General features: G+C 35.0%; 1 protein-coding gene across 3 annotated transcripts in view; it reads left to right on the forward strand.

The window, feature by feature from the left end:
* The window catches only part of SLC27A6 (solute carrier family 27 member 6), a 68,148-nt gene that overhangs the window by 38,901 nt on the left and 11,937 nt on the right, over window positions 1-17,310 (forward strand). For all 3 annotated transcript variants that reach the window (NM_001017372.3, NM_014031.5, NM_001317984.2), the window contains one exon: window positions 11,497-11,691. In NM_001017372.3, coding sequence (NP_001017372.1) covers window positions 11,497-11,691 — 195 coding nt within the window. The remainder of the gene's footprint in view (window positions 1-11,496; window positions 11,692-17,310) is intronic.

Raw genomic sequence — 17,310 nt, forward strand, 5'->3', positions numbered from 1 at the left:
CTCTTGCTTTCTTTCTCTCTGAGTCTCTCACTTTCACTCTCTGTCTTTCCTGCTTTTCGTCAGTCTTTCACGCTCTCTCTGTCTCTTTGTCACTTCATATCTTTCACTTGTGTGAGTGTGTAGGTAGGTTTTTGTGTATTCATTTATTTAATTGTGCTCATTATGTTTATGCATGTCCTCTCATTCCTATCCCAATATAGCTTAGATATTCGGTGATATTTAGGTAGCAATCTCATATCTCAAGAAGAATAAAAAGGAATAGAGATTTATTCTAAAGAAGCCATAAGGGGATTTATGGATTGAGAAGTGGAGTTTTAAAAATTACAGATGGATATTACCAAGATTTGGTTGTATCTTAGGTGACGTACCACTAATTTCACAGTATCTCAAAACTGTCCAGTATAAAACCAAATATAATTAACAACCATCAGGCCCTCATCTCTATGTCTAGATAGTCCAGGGTCACTTTTTAAAGCTCTCTTTGCTGATCTTGATGATTTTTCTTCTTCAATGGTTGTCATTCTGTTGAGCCTGCTATTCTATTTCCTTGACTACAATCTAGGTTCTCATCATCATCACCCACATCATCTTTTGCCTGAACTACTTCAGGTGCTATCCCTGGCCCCGCTAACTTTCCATCCATCATGCCAGGTGGGGGCAGGTTATTGTTCCATCATCTTTCTCTCCTTGATGCCCTCCACTGGCTTCCAGTTTTCTTCCAGGGTTCACCAATAGAGTTTCACAACATAAACAGCTGTTTTTTTTTAAAGGCTCACCTGACCAATATTTTGCCCACCTACCACTATGCCCAATGTGTATAGGAAGCCATGCTTTTGAATGCTCTGACTAGGCGATTTTCTCCACTACAAATATTAACTCCCAGTTATTTCTAATGGGATAAAGCCCTTTCCTGAGAAGGAAACATAAAAGGAAAACACATGGGAATCTGGATAAGGAAACTTTATAAACCAATATTTGTAGCACCAATGTATTGTCCAGTTAACCAGACGATGCTTAACTTGTTTTAATACTAAGAAGTTTTTGCTATTTTGACTTTGTATCATTTAGGAAAGGGTTCAGCAAGATTTTTCTGTAAAGCACCAACCAAGTTAGTAAATATTTTAAGCTTTGTGGGTTATACTGTCTTTCTGACAACTATTTAATTCCACCCATGTTTCTCAAAAGCAGCCATAGATGATCCATAAATAGGTCTGGTTGTATTTTTTTTTTTTTTTTTTTTGCGAGACAGAGTCTCGCTCTGTCGCTCAGGCTGGAGTGCAGTGGCCTGATCTCGGCTCACTGCAAGCTCCGCCTCCTGGGTTCACGCCATTCTCCTGCCTCAGCCTCCCGAGTAGCTGGGACTACAGGCGCCTGCCACCATGCCTGGCTAATTTTTCCTATTTTTAGTGGAGACGGGGTTTCACGGTGTTAGCCAGGATGGTCTCGATCTCCTGACCTCGTGATCCGCCTGCCTCGGCCCCCCAAAGTGCTAGGATTACAGGCGTGAGCCACCGTGGCCGGCCTAGGTCTGGTTTTGTTTTAATAAAACATTATTTGCAAAAACGGGACATGGCTCAGATTGGGCCCCTGCAGGCTGTAGTTTGCCAATACCTAATTTAGACTTTATGATAATATCTTATTATGTATTCCATATAGGTAAAATTTTCATTCCTGTGCACACTGTTTTTTTTTTTTTTTTTTTTTTTTTGAGACGGAGTCTCGCTGTGTTGCCCAGACTGGAGTGCAGTTGTGTGATCTTGGCTCACTGCAAGCTCCACCTCCTCCGTTCACGCCATTCTCCCGCCTCAGCCTCCCGAGTAGCTGGCACTACAGGCGCCAGCCGCCGCGCCAGCTGCCGTGCCCGCCTAATTTTTTGTATTTTTAGTAGAGACGGGGTTTCACCGTGTTAGCCAGGATGGTCTCGATCTCCTGACCTCGTGATCTGCCCGCCTCGGTCTCCCAAAGTGCTGGGATTACAGGCATGAGCCACCGCGCCCAGCCACTCGTTTTTTAAAGCTTTTTTTCTCTCTCACCTTTCATATATGTATATATGCATGAGTGTGTGTGTGTGTGTGTGTGTGTGTGTGTGTGTGTGTTGTGTGTCTGTGTGTGAGTGCCAAAAATATAACTTTTGGGCTTTCTACAGGGTTTCATATAATTTGTCATTATTATAATAAATAAAGGAATCATATTATTTTCATTTACATAAAATTCCATGCTCATAATTTGAATCAAGAAAACCAAAACCTGAAACATGTTACTGGTAACTTTCAAGAAATATCTCAATAATCTGTAAAATAACAACAGTAATTTATATCACGTATTTTATGTAAATTATGTCATTTATGTTTAACTCTTTTGTAAGTGTCATGTTTAGATTCTTAGTTACCATTTAAAACAAGATTTTAGAGAATTGTTTTAAAGTATTTTGTGTATGTGTGCTTACTGAATCAGCTTAAAGATGTTTGTAAAATTTTAGACTTTTATTAATTGAAGACCTTTTATTTGTAAATCTTATCTAAAGTGCAGTTGAATAGATTTAAAATTAAACTTTCATGAAATCTGAATTGACCATCATTATGTACAGCAAAAAATATTATATCCTTGTCATAAAGTTAATTCTAGATAAATGTAATAGGTAAATGTAAAGAGATAAGAAGAAAATAATATATAGATTTTTTTGCTTATAGGATGGGAAAGAAAATTTTAAATCACATATTAATTTGAAATATTAATAAGAGCAGAGAATGATCCATTTAATTATTAAAAACATTGAATGTGGCTGGGCACAATCCACCTGTAATCCCAGCACTTTGGGAGGCCGAGGCGGGTGGATCACAAGGTCAGGAGTTCAGGACCAGCCTGGCCAAGATGGTGAAACCCCATCTCTACTAAAAATACAAAAATTAGCCAGGTGTGGTGGCACGTACCTGTAATCTCAGCTACTTGGGAGGCTGGAGCAGATAATTGCTTAAACCCGGGAGGCGGAGGTTGCAGTGAGCTGAGATCATGCCACTGCACTCCAGCCTGGGCGACAGAGCGAGACTCAGTCTTAAAAAAAAAAAAAAAAAAAAAAATATAATGTTAAAAATAAAAATCAAATTAAAAGAAACAAATGCTCGTAACTATTTTAAAAAGTGTTAATCTTCTTAATACACTATTAAATGACAAGCATTCAACTTGGTTAAAAATAAAAAGAAATTAAACACAATATATTTTCTTATCAAATTGTCATTTTAAATTAAATGAAATGTCATATTTCTAAGAATTCTTCATTGAAGAGGTATCCATCTCCCTCTCCTCAATAAGATATAAATTTTTAGCCAACAATTTGGTAACATATCCATAAAAATATTTACAACTATTGGCTTCTTCCAGGGATCTGTCCTAATGAGATGCAAAAATTTATAGATAAGATATTCACTCTACTATCTATAATGATGAACATTTAAGAACAATGTAGCAGTTCAAAAACAGGTGATGAAGGGGTAAATTGTGGTATAATTATATGATAATCAAAAGCATGGAACATCATATATTTGAATGATAACAATTTGGAATAATGTCCAGAATTTATTAATAAATTAGAATATATGGCCATATTATGGTGATTATAACTTTTAATGTATATATAGATATGTTACATAATATTTATATAGTGAGATTATATATTATTTCATTTTTTATTTTTCTGTATTCTCTAAATGTTGTATGATATGATATGTGTATATTTCAACATCAAAAGAAATACACATTTTCTTTTCCCACATAACACTAAACAATAGATCAATTGATGTTTCCTCATACCTTTCAAAGCATGGTCTTCTGGGTTTTCTTTAAAGGAAAGAAAAATTTTTTAAAAAGAGATCTTGGACATTAGAGAAATGAATTTGATATTTTGGGACAAAAGTCTTGATCCTAGTTTAGAAAATGTGATTCTCTGTATCAACTGAATTTCTTAGGATGATTGTTTTTATTTAGTAAGCTTGTATAGCTATAGCCCACACAAGTTAAAGCCTGTGGAATTTGGTTTATAAACCACCTTCATATTGGATTTCAGAGAATGCCAAGGCATCTTATAAATGATGATACTTGCTAAAACTCATCTCATACCTGAAAAGCTTCCAAGCATTATACCATATAAAAGATTGTTCTCTATTCAAGCAAAATAAGTCCTAAGATTTGCAATGCTGCTGTTTGACGCAGGAAAATGGCAGTGGAAAATCCAAGAGCTAGTTCCATGCCAGGCAGGCAAAATCTGCCATGCCCATAGGAGGCGGGAACTAGAACAGAACTGCTGTGGGTTATATTTACTGTGAGAAAAGAACCCTCTGTCTTGAAAGGAGCTGCAGATGGAGTCTTTTCTCCATTTGCAGAATAATTACCTTAAACCTCATTTATGTAGGTCTAAGGAAATCAACAAGTGAGAGCGTTTCACATAATTCCACATCTTGGCTATCTTATTATTTTCAATTGATTTTTTTTTTTTTTTTTTTTTGAGATAGAGTCCCTCTGTTACCCAGGCTGGAGTGCAGTGGTGCAATCTTGGCTCGTTGCAACCTCCTCCTCCCGGGTTCAAGCAATTCTCCTGACTCAGCCTCCTGAGTAGCTGGGACTACAGGTACCCACTACCACGCCCAACTAATTTTTGTATTTTTAGTGGAGGCAGGGTTTCTCCATATTGGCCAGGCTGGTCTCATACTCCTGACCTCAGGTCATCCGCCTGCCTTGGCCTCCCAAAGTGCTGAGGTGTGAGCCACCATGCCCAGCCTCAATTGAATTTTTAAAAATCAAAACAGTACTTTTACACAGTTATAAAAATGAAATAGTACTCTTAGGATAAGAAATATCTCTGCATTATCAGTACTTGATCTCTAGAAGTAAGCATCTTTAATTCTTCTAGGACATTTTTAGTTATTACTTATCTCCATATTTCTCAGTAAAATATGTATTCTACTATTTCTTGATTTTTCAGTTTTAACTGTCGTCTACCTGGCTTCCTACTCACATACTCACTATCCACACACATATCTTCTCTCTCTGTGACACCAATAAAATTATGATAGTTTAAAAATATGTTTATAACCAGTTTTTAAAGTATTGTAAAGAAGTGACAATATATAAATTTTATTCATAGCTGAGACATACTGTATTTATTTCATTACAACTTTTCTCTTTTCATTCCTTATAAATAATAATTGTCCCATTTTTATATTTTAAATTTAGCTTTCTAATGTCTATCACAAATCCATCTCAAACTCCCCATCATAGCTAACATTTCTTTGTGTGTGTGTGTGTGTGTGTGTGTGCCTGTGTCACTCTGTTGCCCCGGCTGGAGTGCAGTGGCGCGATCTCGGCTCACTGCAACCTCCACCCCCTGGGTTCAAGCAATTCTCCTGCCTCAGCCTCCTGAGTAGCTGGGACTACAGGTGCACGCTGCCATGCCTGGCTAATTTTTTGTATTTTTTAGTAGAGATGGGGTTTCACCTTGTTGCCCAGGCTGGTCTCTAATTCCTGATCTCAGGCAATCCACCCGCCTCAGCCTCCCAAAGTACTGGGATTACAGGCATGAGCCACTGCACCTGGCGCTAACATTTCTTAATAAGATTTAATAACATGTTACGTGTTTTTAATAAATCGTATTTTTTAAAGGCGTCCCTGCTAACGTGCTGAATCAGTGAGTCACTGTCCTCCCAAATGTGAACAAGATTCTGATTTCTCCCAGTATAAATTAGTTTTGCTTGTTTCCCAAAAACAGAATCTAAATGAAATTATATATATGCATTCTTTTGACCTTGCTTCTTTGACTCAGTCAGCACTATGTCAATGAGATTCATCTTTGTTTTGAGGTATAGCAGTAGTTCATTCTCTCTCATCACTTTAGAGTTATGGTAGGCAAAAAAAATACAAATTACAAATTAAAAATTAAAAAATGGCCCCTTCAAATATGTCCATGCCCTAATTCCTGGAATGCGTGAATATGTGTGCAGTAGAAACATTGGCAAAAGGGATTTTGCAGATGTGATTACAGTTACAGAGCTTAAAATAGGAAGATTATCCTGGTGGATACAATATAATCGTATCAGACTTTAAAGCAGATGATTTTCTCTGGCTGCAAGCAAGGAAGACTCAGCATAGGGGAAGTTGGAGATTTGGAAAATGACAGGAACTCAATGTGTCATTTGTTGTTCTCATATATAGAGGCCTATGTGGAAGAACTGGAGAGAGGCCTCTATGATCTAAGAGCAGCCCCCAGCTGATAGCCAGCAAAGAAAAGAGAGTCTTAGTCCTACACCCTCCAGAAACTTGATTCTGTCAAGAACCTGCATGAGCTTGGAAGCAGATACTTCCAAGAGTCTCAGTCCTACACCCTCCAGAAACTTGATTCTGTCAAGAACCTGCATGAGCTTGGAAGGAGATACTTCCAAGAGTCTCCCAATAAGACCCTAGCCAGTCAACACTTTCATTTCAGTTTTGTGAGTCCTGAATCACACAAACCAGTTAAGTTGATGTGGACTTTTGACCTACGGACACTGTGAGATAGTAACTTGACATTGTTTGAAGGGCCTAGGTTTATGGAAATTTGTATGGCAGCAATAGAAAACTAATAGAAGACTATTCCATTATGTTACTATAACACAACATTTAAAATATATCTATTTTACTATTGATGGATTTGGATTGCTTTCAATTGAGACTTAATATGATTAATGATGCTAGGAACATTCTTATATGTGTCTTTTGGCAGATTTATGTATTTATCTTGGTAGATAATTAGGAGTGGAATGGGTAGGTTGTATTTTATGCATATTTCAGCATTAGTAGATATTGCTAATCAAAGTGGCAGCAGTAATAGGCACTCCTGCCCATGGTCTATGACAGTCCCATTTGTTCCATGTCCTTGCCAACACTTGTTGGAAAATTTATAGTGCTATGCTAAAGAAGAAATCATAATGTTTGTAAATGTTTGTTGCTACTTCATGGTGTTTTGATTTGTAGTTCTCTGATGATGAATGATGTTGAGCATATTCTCATATACTTACTGGATGCTTGGAGGTATTCTTTGAGAAGTACCTGCTCAACACTTTGTCAGTCATTCAAGCAGTCCATAAGCAACACCATAGCTGCTTGACTGGCTCACCATATTTCCATAAAACTGGTTAGTAAGGAAAGAATGAACTTAAATAGATTTATGCAGCACAAAAAGCATCATAACCTTCTGTTCACATCTCATGTCCACAACAGTTCCCTCTCCCCACACATCCTATGGGGAATGCAGAGGTGGGCCTAGGTGGATGCTACATCTGTAGCATAGGTCTGTGCCTCAGCTGAGAACACGGCCCTTAGGAGCTTCCCAGTCATTTAAGGGGCTACTGATAAACCTGCCCTTTCTTTATATCTGAGAAAGAGTTAATAAAGATATGCAAGTAAATCTTCTTGTATGTAAACAAATTTTCTCCCGGAAGAGGAGGGAGACTTTACTATCATGGAAGGTAAATAAATTTTCTCTGTGACCCAAAAACCATCTCTAGCTTCCAAGCCTGTTTGCCACACAAATACCCTTGAAAAGATACATATAGATATAGATATATCTATATATGGTTACATAAATATACATATATTATAGTTTGGTGTAAGTATATGCACATACATACGTGTATTATATAAATATATATCAAACTATTTATACATATATACTTTTATAATATAAAAATACGTATTTTTACTGTATTGCTTTTGCTGCATAGCATAATTTTTATTCTGTCTTATTTTTCTTATACAGTTCAAAATACTTTTTAAATTTTCATTGTAATTTTTTTTTCTTTTACCCATGGGTTGTTTAAAGGTGTATTATTATTATGCAAACATTTGGAGATTTTCTAGTTTTCTTTTTTGTAATTGATCTGTGGTTTAATTTTATTGTGGTCAGAGAACATAGTTTGAATGAAGCTTAATGCTTTGAATTTGGCTTAGACTTGCTGTAAGACTCAACAAATGATCGATCTATTTTGATAAATGTTTCATGGCCACTTGAAAAAAAATGTGTACTCTTCAGTACCTTGTTACACTGTTCTGTATACATAAATTAGGTCAAGTTGGTTAGTTTTCTTTAAACTTCCATGTTCTTATGATTTTTTTCCCGCTTATTCTATCAGTACCAGAGAGAGAAGTTAAAAATATCTCAGTCTATTTTAGCTCTGTCCATTTTTGCTTTATATATTTGACTATGTTGTTAGGTAAATAGAAATTTAAGGTTGCTATCCATACAGTGAATTGACCCCTTTATTATTATTAACTATCCCTCTTTATCTCCAGAAATGTTGCTTTACTTAAGGTCTACTTTGTCTGATATTAGTATAGTTATACTAGCTTCCTCTTGGGTGATGATTGTATGGCTTACCTTTTTCCATCCAACTACTTTCAATTTTGGGCTTATGTAATATTTAAGATGTATTTTTCATAAACAGGATATAGTTGAGTTTTATATTTTTATGCATTCTAAAAGTTTTTTTTTCCATGATTACATATTTAGTCCATTTACATTTTATGTACTTATGATATATTTGCTTTTATAGCTTCTATCTTGCTATTTTTTCTTGTTGTCTCATCTGTTATTTGTTCCCTTTCCCCCTTAATCTTCTTTTGAAATAATATTTTTATTATTAGTTTTCAGTGATTAGCCCTTTAGTTATACATCCTTTTATATTTGTTTTATTTATTTAAGTATTTTTCTTTGAGTAATTACCTGGAAGGATACAAGATTAATTCTTAACTTACCACATTCTATCTTCAAATAGCATATTTTCCACTTCTTTATAATGCAAGAACTTTGTAACACTTCTCTTTTCTGGTCCTCTTCATTCCTTCCTGCTTTTTGTTTCTTTGCTCCTGTATAATATTGTTTTCTTTGGTGCTAAGAACTGCCTTTAGTGTTCCATCTGTACCGTTCTACTAAAAACAAAATTTTCCATTTTTATTTGTGTGAAAACATGTTTTTCCTTTAGTTTTGAATAATTCTTTAGCTGAGTATAGAATGCTAGGTTGACAATTATTTTCTTGTACTAGCTTTAAAATATTATATTGTCTTCCAGGCTTACGGTCATTGTTGAAATGTCAGCCATAAATATTCATGTTGCCCCTTTGGAAATGATGTTTCTATTTCTTTCTGGCTGCTTTTAAAATTCTCCCTCTCTTTTTAATTTTTATATATTTTTTCTTCTTAGCAATTTTGCCAGAAAATGTCCAACTGTATTTCCCTGCTATTTAACCTGTCTGAGGTTTTAGGTTTTATTTATTTATTTTTTCATGGCTTCATGTCTTTCTATCACTTTTGGAAAATTCTCAGTTAAAATCTCTTCAGAATTGCCTCTTCTCCATTCATTTTATTATTCTATAGGGCTCCACTTGTAGGTATTTTTGGCATGTTCTTTGCGTCTCATATGTCTTTTACTTCCTTTTACATATTTTTATTCTTTAAAAAATTAATTCTTTAATCATCATATTTCAGAATGAGGCACTAAATGCCTGATGGCACATGGCTGGGATTTGTCAACAAAAGGCTCAGATTCTAGGGTGACTAAGTGAGGATCCAGACATTTTATTGAGATACTTCCAGAAGTCAGTATCTTTTCTCTTGGACTGACCAGTTTCCTTGATAGTAACTGAACAGTTTCCTGCTCTGGTATATGATTTGGGGTATCGGAATTCTGATACTAGAGCAGGAAAAGAGTTTAGTGATCTCATCTTTTAGTATGTAGACTTTCATTTAACCCTCCTGTTTTCAGTAGTGTTAACTTGAAATAAAAATTACATAATAGAGATGCATCTCTAAGCAAAGAGCTTATTTGGAAACAAAAAATTGCAATTCGGGACACATAGACCAGCGTAGCCTCTAGGTGTGTCTGAAGAACAAAAGGAAAGGCTGGGGTTTTATTGGGAAAATGAACAAAGTTATGTAAGCTGTTTTGAAGGAAGTTTCATTGGTGATGGCAGTGTCTTATGGGAGCTGGCGAGTTCTGAGTGTCAACAGTTACCAGGTAAGACTTAAAGTTATGGTTAGGTCTTTGTGCTTTTGTGTTTGAATTACAAAAACATTTTCTGGAACAGGTATGCATGACCTGGGTGCCTTTCTTCATGGCCTCCAAATCCATTTTAGTTTGGTATGACGTGAAGGACTCTATTTTGTAAAATTAATTTTCACAGTAAGTTCCTCAACCCAAACTGGTGTCTGTCTGGCTAGACATCTCCAGAGATTACTTTCCAGTCTTTGGCCAATGTGTAGGAAGGGCAAACTCCCAGATGCTTTGTCTGTATGTAGATATTCAGTTATACAACTGCTTCTGAAACAAATTTCCTGCCAAGCTTTCTGCTTTCCTCATTCTTTTTGATGCTTGCTTGACACTTTCAGGAACCCTTGTCGAGTGCTAACCTGCAGGCTTGGATTTCAGCCTTATCCATTCTGCTCAATCACATGTCCTTTTATCTCTTCACTTTTCAGTTTCCAAAATTACCTCTCAACTCACTTCTCTCTATTCTTGAGAATTCGTAGATTAAAATCTTCACTTTAAAACCATTTAAATGGTGTTTAGAGAAACTGAAATAAATAATGTGATCCATTAATCATTTTAAATTATGGGTACCAAAGAAGCCAGTTTCTCTATTTTATTGTTGTTGCTGATTTATTATTACATCTTGTTATTTTGCATTTTTTGGTGATGATGGAGGTAATCAGAGCAAATAATGGATTTATTGTGACTACACTGATAATATATTTTTACTCTAATTTTAGGTGAGTGTAAAAGTTCATGTTAGTTAAAACATTACTTACTAGATATAGAACAAAATAGAATCCTGTATCTTCCTTTAATTCTAAAATATGAATGAAAAGTAAAACTGTGAGAATATTGCACATTCTAAAACAATAATTACATATAGTTGCCATAATATTTACAAGTCAAATATTACTTTGATTCTATGGCCTCAAATTGTCGTTTACTCTATGTTAAGCACTGCGTATTAACTATACACTACAGTATATAAGGAAGATGGGTATTATTATCTTTTTTAAAATAGATGAATAAACTGAGAATCAGAGGTAGGAGTCAACATCTTGTTCAGAATTGTATAGCTAATTACTGCTAAGCCTGGACATCCAAACTTAAGTATGTTTCATGTTATCAAAGTAATGATTTTTTTCTTCCTGAAAAATGCTTTCTTCCTTACCTGACATTTACCCAAAAAAAAAGCCTTTAGTGATCTGCAATTTAGAATGAGCTGTTCCCAGATATGGAAAAACACAAACTGTATTATTCTTGACCAGTGTTACTTTCATTAGGATTTGGACACAGTTCTGCAATAGACTTATACACATATTTTAACTTCCCTTCTGTTATTGCACATATGCAGTTTACGTCTATGATATTTTTCATTTAAATAATAATAAAGAAAGAATTAGAAACTGGAACTAATTACAAGTAAAACATTTTCTTCTAACAGAGAGAAGGAGAAAAGGATCATAAGGTGCGTTTGGCAATTGGAAATGGCATACGGAGTGATGTATGGAGAGAATTTTTAGACAGATTTGGAAATATAAAGGTGTGTGAACTTTATGCAGCTACCGAATCAAGCATATCTTTCATGAACTACACTGGGAGAATTGGAGCAATTGGGAGAACAAATTTGTTTTACAAAGTAAGTACAGCATTTTCCTTATTAAAGAAATACATCGGTGCGGTGGCTCATACCTGTAATCCCAACACTTTGGGACGCCGAGGTGGGCAGATCATGAGGTCAGGAGATCGAGACCATCCTGGCCAACACAGTGAAACCCTGTCTCTACTAAAAATACAAAAACAAAATTAGACGGGTGTAGTGGCGGACACCTGTAGTCCCAACTAGTTGGGAGGCTGAGGCAGGAGAATGGCATGAACCCAGGAGGTGGAGCTTGCAGTGAGCAGAGATTGCGCCACTGTACTCCAGCCTGGGCGACAGAGCGAGACTCTGTCTCAAAAAAAAAAAAAAAAAAAAAAAGGAGCACCTTGTGGTCTGCCAGCACTCTTCTAGATACTATGCTTGTAAATTGTGGTAAATATTATCACCTTTTTTTTTTTTTAAGTTGAGAATTTCTAGAAATAGAGTAGTGGCCTCAGTGTGAGAGACAGTGCTATAGGTTATGTGAACCTCAGTTATCTTCTGTATTTTCTCTCTCATATCACCATAATGATGCCTTTTCTTGTTCTGTTTCCAAATTTAATGATATAATTTATAAATAGCAAGCATAGGCCCTGATATATATTGACTCTTTCCGTATATATTAATTTGACTCTTTCCATTTTCCTTGAGTGTTTTTATTCCACTATTTCTATTTATCTTTCATCGTTTATACCACTCAATTCTATACAGGCTTTTAATAATTTTTAAACTATATTAAGATAGCACTAAAATCTTAAAAGTAGCCAAATAAACCAACTTTTTAGGAGGAGAAGATTGACAGCTGATTTCTCAGTAGCAACCACAAAACACAAAAGACAGTAGACATTTACCTTCCACTGGCTTGGAAAAAATAACTGTCAAACTGGAACTTATACTCAACAATAATTTTTTAAGAATGCAGGCAAAAATAAAGATAGCAGTCTCAACCTTTGTAAAGCAAAACTGGTATAGCTGCAAGAGAAAATAAATCTTCAGTAACCTTCTATAATAAGAAACCACTAATCGACATATGAAAGACCCTGCATCTAACTACTGCTGTATATCTATTTTATTCAAGCACTTTTGAAACGTTTACAAAAGTTACTGGGCCAGTTAGGTAATTCCAACAAATTTCAAAGGATTGAATATATATAAATTATGCTCTCTGAAAACAGTTTAATTGTTGGTAGAAATAATTTTTTTAAAAGACAACTAGATAACCTCCTATATATTTGGAAATAAAACATTTCTAAATATCCATTCATCAAAGAAAAAATCATAATAGAAATTAGAAGATACTATGAGCTAAATCATAAAGAAAATGTTACATTAAAAAACTTGTGCCTTAGCCAAGAATAGCTGAAAATTGGATGGAGCTCAGTAACTATCTCTATAAGTTAATTTTTAAAAGGACAACTAAAATAAACTCAAAGGAAATAAAAGGAAGGAAATAATAAAGAGCAGAAATTAATGACATAGAAAAAATGTTTGGTGATGAATACAAAAATAAATAGAAATATAATTTTTAAAAAGTAAATCGATTCTGATTGATAGAAGGCACAAATAATATCAGGAATGGAAAAGGGAACATTGCTGCTGATACTTTAGACATTAAGACAGTAAAAGAGGATATGTTGAATAAGTTCATATCAATAAACTTGAAATTATTAGATGAATTGGATAAATTTCTAGAAATGTACAACTTACTAGTATTGACTCAAGAATTATTTTATCACACTAAATGAAATAAATTCATACTCCAACATCTTCCCTTAATTTCAGATAGCTTTCCCACTCAGGATAATGAATATTCAAAGAGCAAATAATTCCTCTGTTACGAACTCTTCCAGATAATGCAGAAGGAGAAAAAACTTCCCAACTCATTTTTTGACTCCAAACCTGACGTAATAGTGCAAGAACGAAAGTACTTCCTACAGACATACATGTATGAGGAAAGCTTTTGGTTGATAATCTCTCTCCTCAGGTGTGTTTCCTTAGTGGCCTCACCTGTTCTCTGAAAGTAGCACTATCCTATAGCATTGCTTTTGACATTTCCAGAGCACCCTACTCAAGCCATATTTAGAACTGCTTTTGAAGAGATCTTTAAGAATCCCATAATGCGAACTTTGGTGCTTTTTTGTCACTTTCATCCCTAACTGCTTTAGTTTTTTAGGTGAAATTTTCTGTATAATAAACTGCCATACCTCAAAGAACACCTGGAAGCAACAAAGTATTTGCTTTTCTAATCCATGGTGATTTTTTTCAGTATCTGGAAGTAATCGGCAGACATGTGTTTTTCATGCCACAGCAGCTCACTTTTTCAGTCTAGTTGCCCATTCAAAGCTGGTGTAAATCACAGTAATGCTCTAAACCAAAAGAAGGTGCAAACTATTTTTATAATGCATTCTTTTAGAACTTTGAGGGTATAGTTGACATCTAAGAAATGCACTTTATTCTGAACGAAAGCATTTTGGGGAAAGTAAGTGCTGATTTTACTGAGTTTTACGTTCCTTGCAGTTAATTTTCTCAGTTAATTGCACTGGTTCCATTACAAATTTGGTATTGATATTGAGCCCCTTTGTGAAGCTGAGCCATTCTAAAGCAACCAACAAGGGTATGATGATTTGTATTTTATATTACTGACTTTATTATAATTTTCTAATGCTTTAAATTTTCTGTCAACTGTAATAACGTCAATCATATAAAAAGTCATGATTGTCTTCAATTTATTTGGAAAACCTCTGATTTTCAACTCATTTTAGTTTTCTTTTTCAGTTTGGAAATGAAAAAACAAAGTTGTGCCTAATACTTTATGACTTCTAGTCTGTCTTTTATCATTTTATTCACATGTTGTTTTGTTAGATAGCAGGTAATTAGAAAAATTTGGTTCAATGATTATCTCATAATTAAGAGAGGAGATTTGATAAATGTCTGTCAAAAATGCTAACCTAATGGAGGCTCATGCTTATTATCTGGGAGGGAAGCAGCCTCCAGAGATAAAATGTTACAAGTGAAGGAGAAAGATAAGGCAGCAACACAGAGTTCCTATAACCCATTGTCTTTATGTGCTACACTTACTATTTTAATGCATAAAACTGAAGAGATATTGTCCCACATATTCTCCCAGGGCAAACTATATAAAAAATTTAGTGACAACATATTTGAGAGACAAACTCAAGTAGAATTATGAAGTGCTTTCTCTTTTTCTGTAGTATTTTCACCTGGGGAAAGTAACTAGGAAGAGACAAACATAAAATACATAGATAAAGCTTGAAAAAAGGGAGAAAATGAATCTAAATAAAAGGCAGCTGAAAAAAATGAATGCACATTTTATACATAGGTGAAATAAAGCTCGGAAAAAAAAAGAGAAAATGAATCTAAATGAAAGGCAGCTGGAAAAAAAAATGAATGCACATCAAAATAGTAAGTTCCCCAAAACGACCAGGAAATGTTTAGAAAAACAATTACTCACAGGCTTGAAAACTTGCAATAATATTCTCTTTAAAAATAAGAGCCCAGAAAAGAAAAAGGATCAAGGAGAAACATAAATAAACAAAATGAACTAAAAAGTAAGCACGCTCAGCTCAAAGAAAAAAATAGAGGAAAAAATGTAAATATTACACAAATGAGCATCACATAAAATAAAAGGAATGTAAACGTTGTTAGGGAGAAAGATGAGTGGAATTAAGGAGTCCCACAAACACAATAAAAAGAGCAAGCAAATGATAATTTAAAAATTAAGAAAAAGGATTTTGAAAACATAGACAATGATCTGATGTGTCCTTAATTGGTGTTCCTGCAGTAAAGAACAGATCAAAGAAAAAAATAATTATTTCTACCCTAATAGAGGAAAATTTCCTTAAGGTAAAAACTTGAATCTTTAGCAGAAGAGTACACTATATGGGGTAGAATAATTATCAGAAAAATATATCCTGGTAAAATTATGAAACAAAAAGAACCAAAAGGAGATTTTGAGGTAGCAAAAGCAAAGGATGAGCAAAATGTAACACAGATGAGGGTGGGAAACATCTCAGGCATTCTCAAAATAAAACACTCAAGGCTAGAAAAAAAGGAAAGAATTGGCTTCACTTAAGAATTTTTGTTCTGGCTAAGTTGCTTCTCAAGTATCAAGTCAACAAAGAGGTTTTCTCAAAGTTTTAAGAAATCAGAAACTATAATACCTGCATATTTATAGGAATGCAATATTTCTTTGTAAAATTCACTGAATGAAAAATCATGGCCAACTTGAAGATAAACCATAACTTAGAAATGAAAGAATCACCTTCAGTTAAAATGCCTGATGGTGAACATTGGATCAATTCACACGTAGAAGATTGAACAACTCTGAATTGTTTATACATGGAATAAAACCTGACAATGTAAAAATAATTATAACACTAACAAAAATGGGAGTGGGGGGGAGGAAAGGAAGAAATGGTTATTCTCCTACCTGTCATATTGGCAAATCCATAGATAACAACAGAATTTAAAATTTACCATCTAAACTTAAATTTTAAAATAATATATGAGATTAATAAAATGGCTCATTTCTTTAACCATTTTCATAAGCTGTTTTATTGCCTTAAAAGTAGGTGTCTTTTAGGGATGAGGAAAGTTAGACAACTTCAAAATAAGAGAACAGTCCCCACAAGACCACTCCCATTTCTGACACAATTTCAGGAGTCCCAAAGACCACTCTCAGGTTTGATAATTTGCTAAAAGGACTCACAAAACTCAGCTTATTACAGCTAAAGGATCTAGATTATAATCAGCCCAGGGATGTCATATGTAAGGCAGAATCCAGGAGGGTACCAAGGGTGAAGCTTCCAGTTATGCTGTGTTGTGGAGTCAGAACAGCATTACTTTCCTGGAATTGTATAATAATACGCACGAACTGGTGCCAAATGGGGACGCTCATAGGAGGCTTGATGTCCAGTCTTTCTGGGGGCTTGGTTGTGTAATTCGGGTTGACTGCTCACATAGCTTACTTCCATCTCCTGCCCCTTGGGAGGTCAAGCTGGGTGATCCAAAGCCCCCGGCCTACCTCACATTGTTCATGTGCCTCAGAGACCCCATTTCTAAATCATAGTGTTACCATCTAGTTGCCCAAAGGTTTTAGACAAAAAAATGTACTACTCTATTAAGAATGACATTCCAAGGACTTAGAGATCACCTCCCAGAAGCCAGGACCTCTTTTGGGGGCAAGGTTAAATTCTTTACTACACAGGGACTGATGATAACTCTGTTCCCGACTCTACTACTATTTCACTTCGTGACTTTGACAAGTTACTTTTCTCTCAGTTCAGAGTTTCCTCATGTATTAATCAAGGAAATTAACTTTGCGTTCCTTTTCCAACTCATAAATTTACAAATCTGAATCTGCAAAGATACGTGGGTGTGGATAAAATCTCCCAGGGCCAATGCATAGAGCCACATAGGTGTGTGTGCATTGCACAGTTCTGCTATGAATGGGACCCCATGTTTTGAATGGGACCCCCTGCAGCTGTGCTCCAGACATGTACACATATACACATACATAAACATGTACATTTGGGAGATTTTAATGTGTGGCATCTATTTTTTAAATTTGTATTATAATGCAGCCATTTTTGTAATATC

This window comes from Homo sapiens, chromosome 5 (genome assembly GCF_000001405.40).
Source record: "Homo sapiens chromosome 5, GRCh38.p14 Primary Assembly".
NCBI lineage: Eukaryota > Metazoa > Chordata > Mammalia > Primates > Hominidae > Homo > Homo sapiens.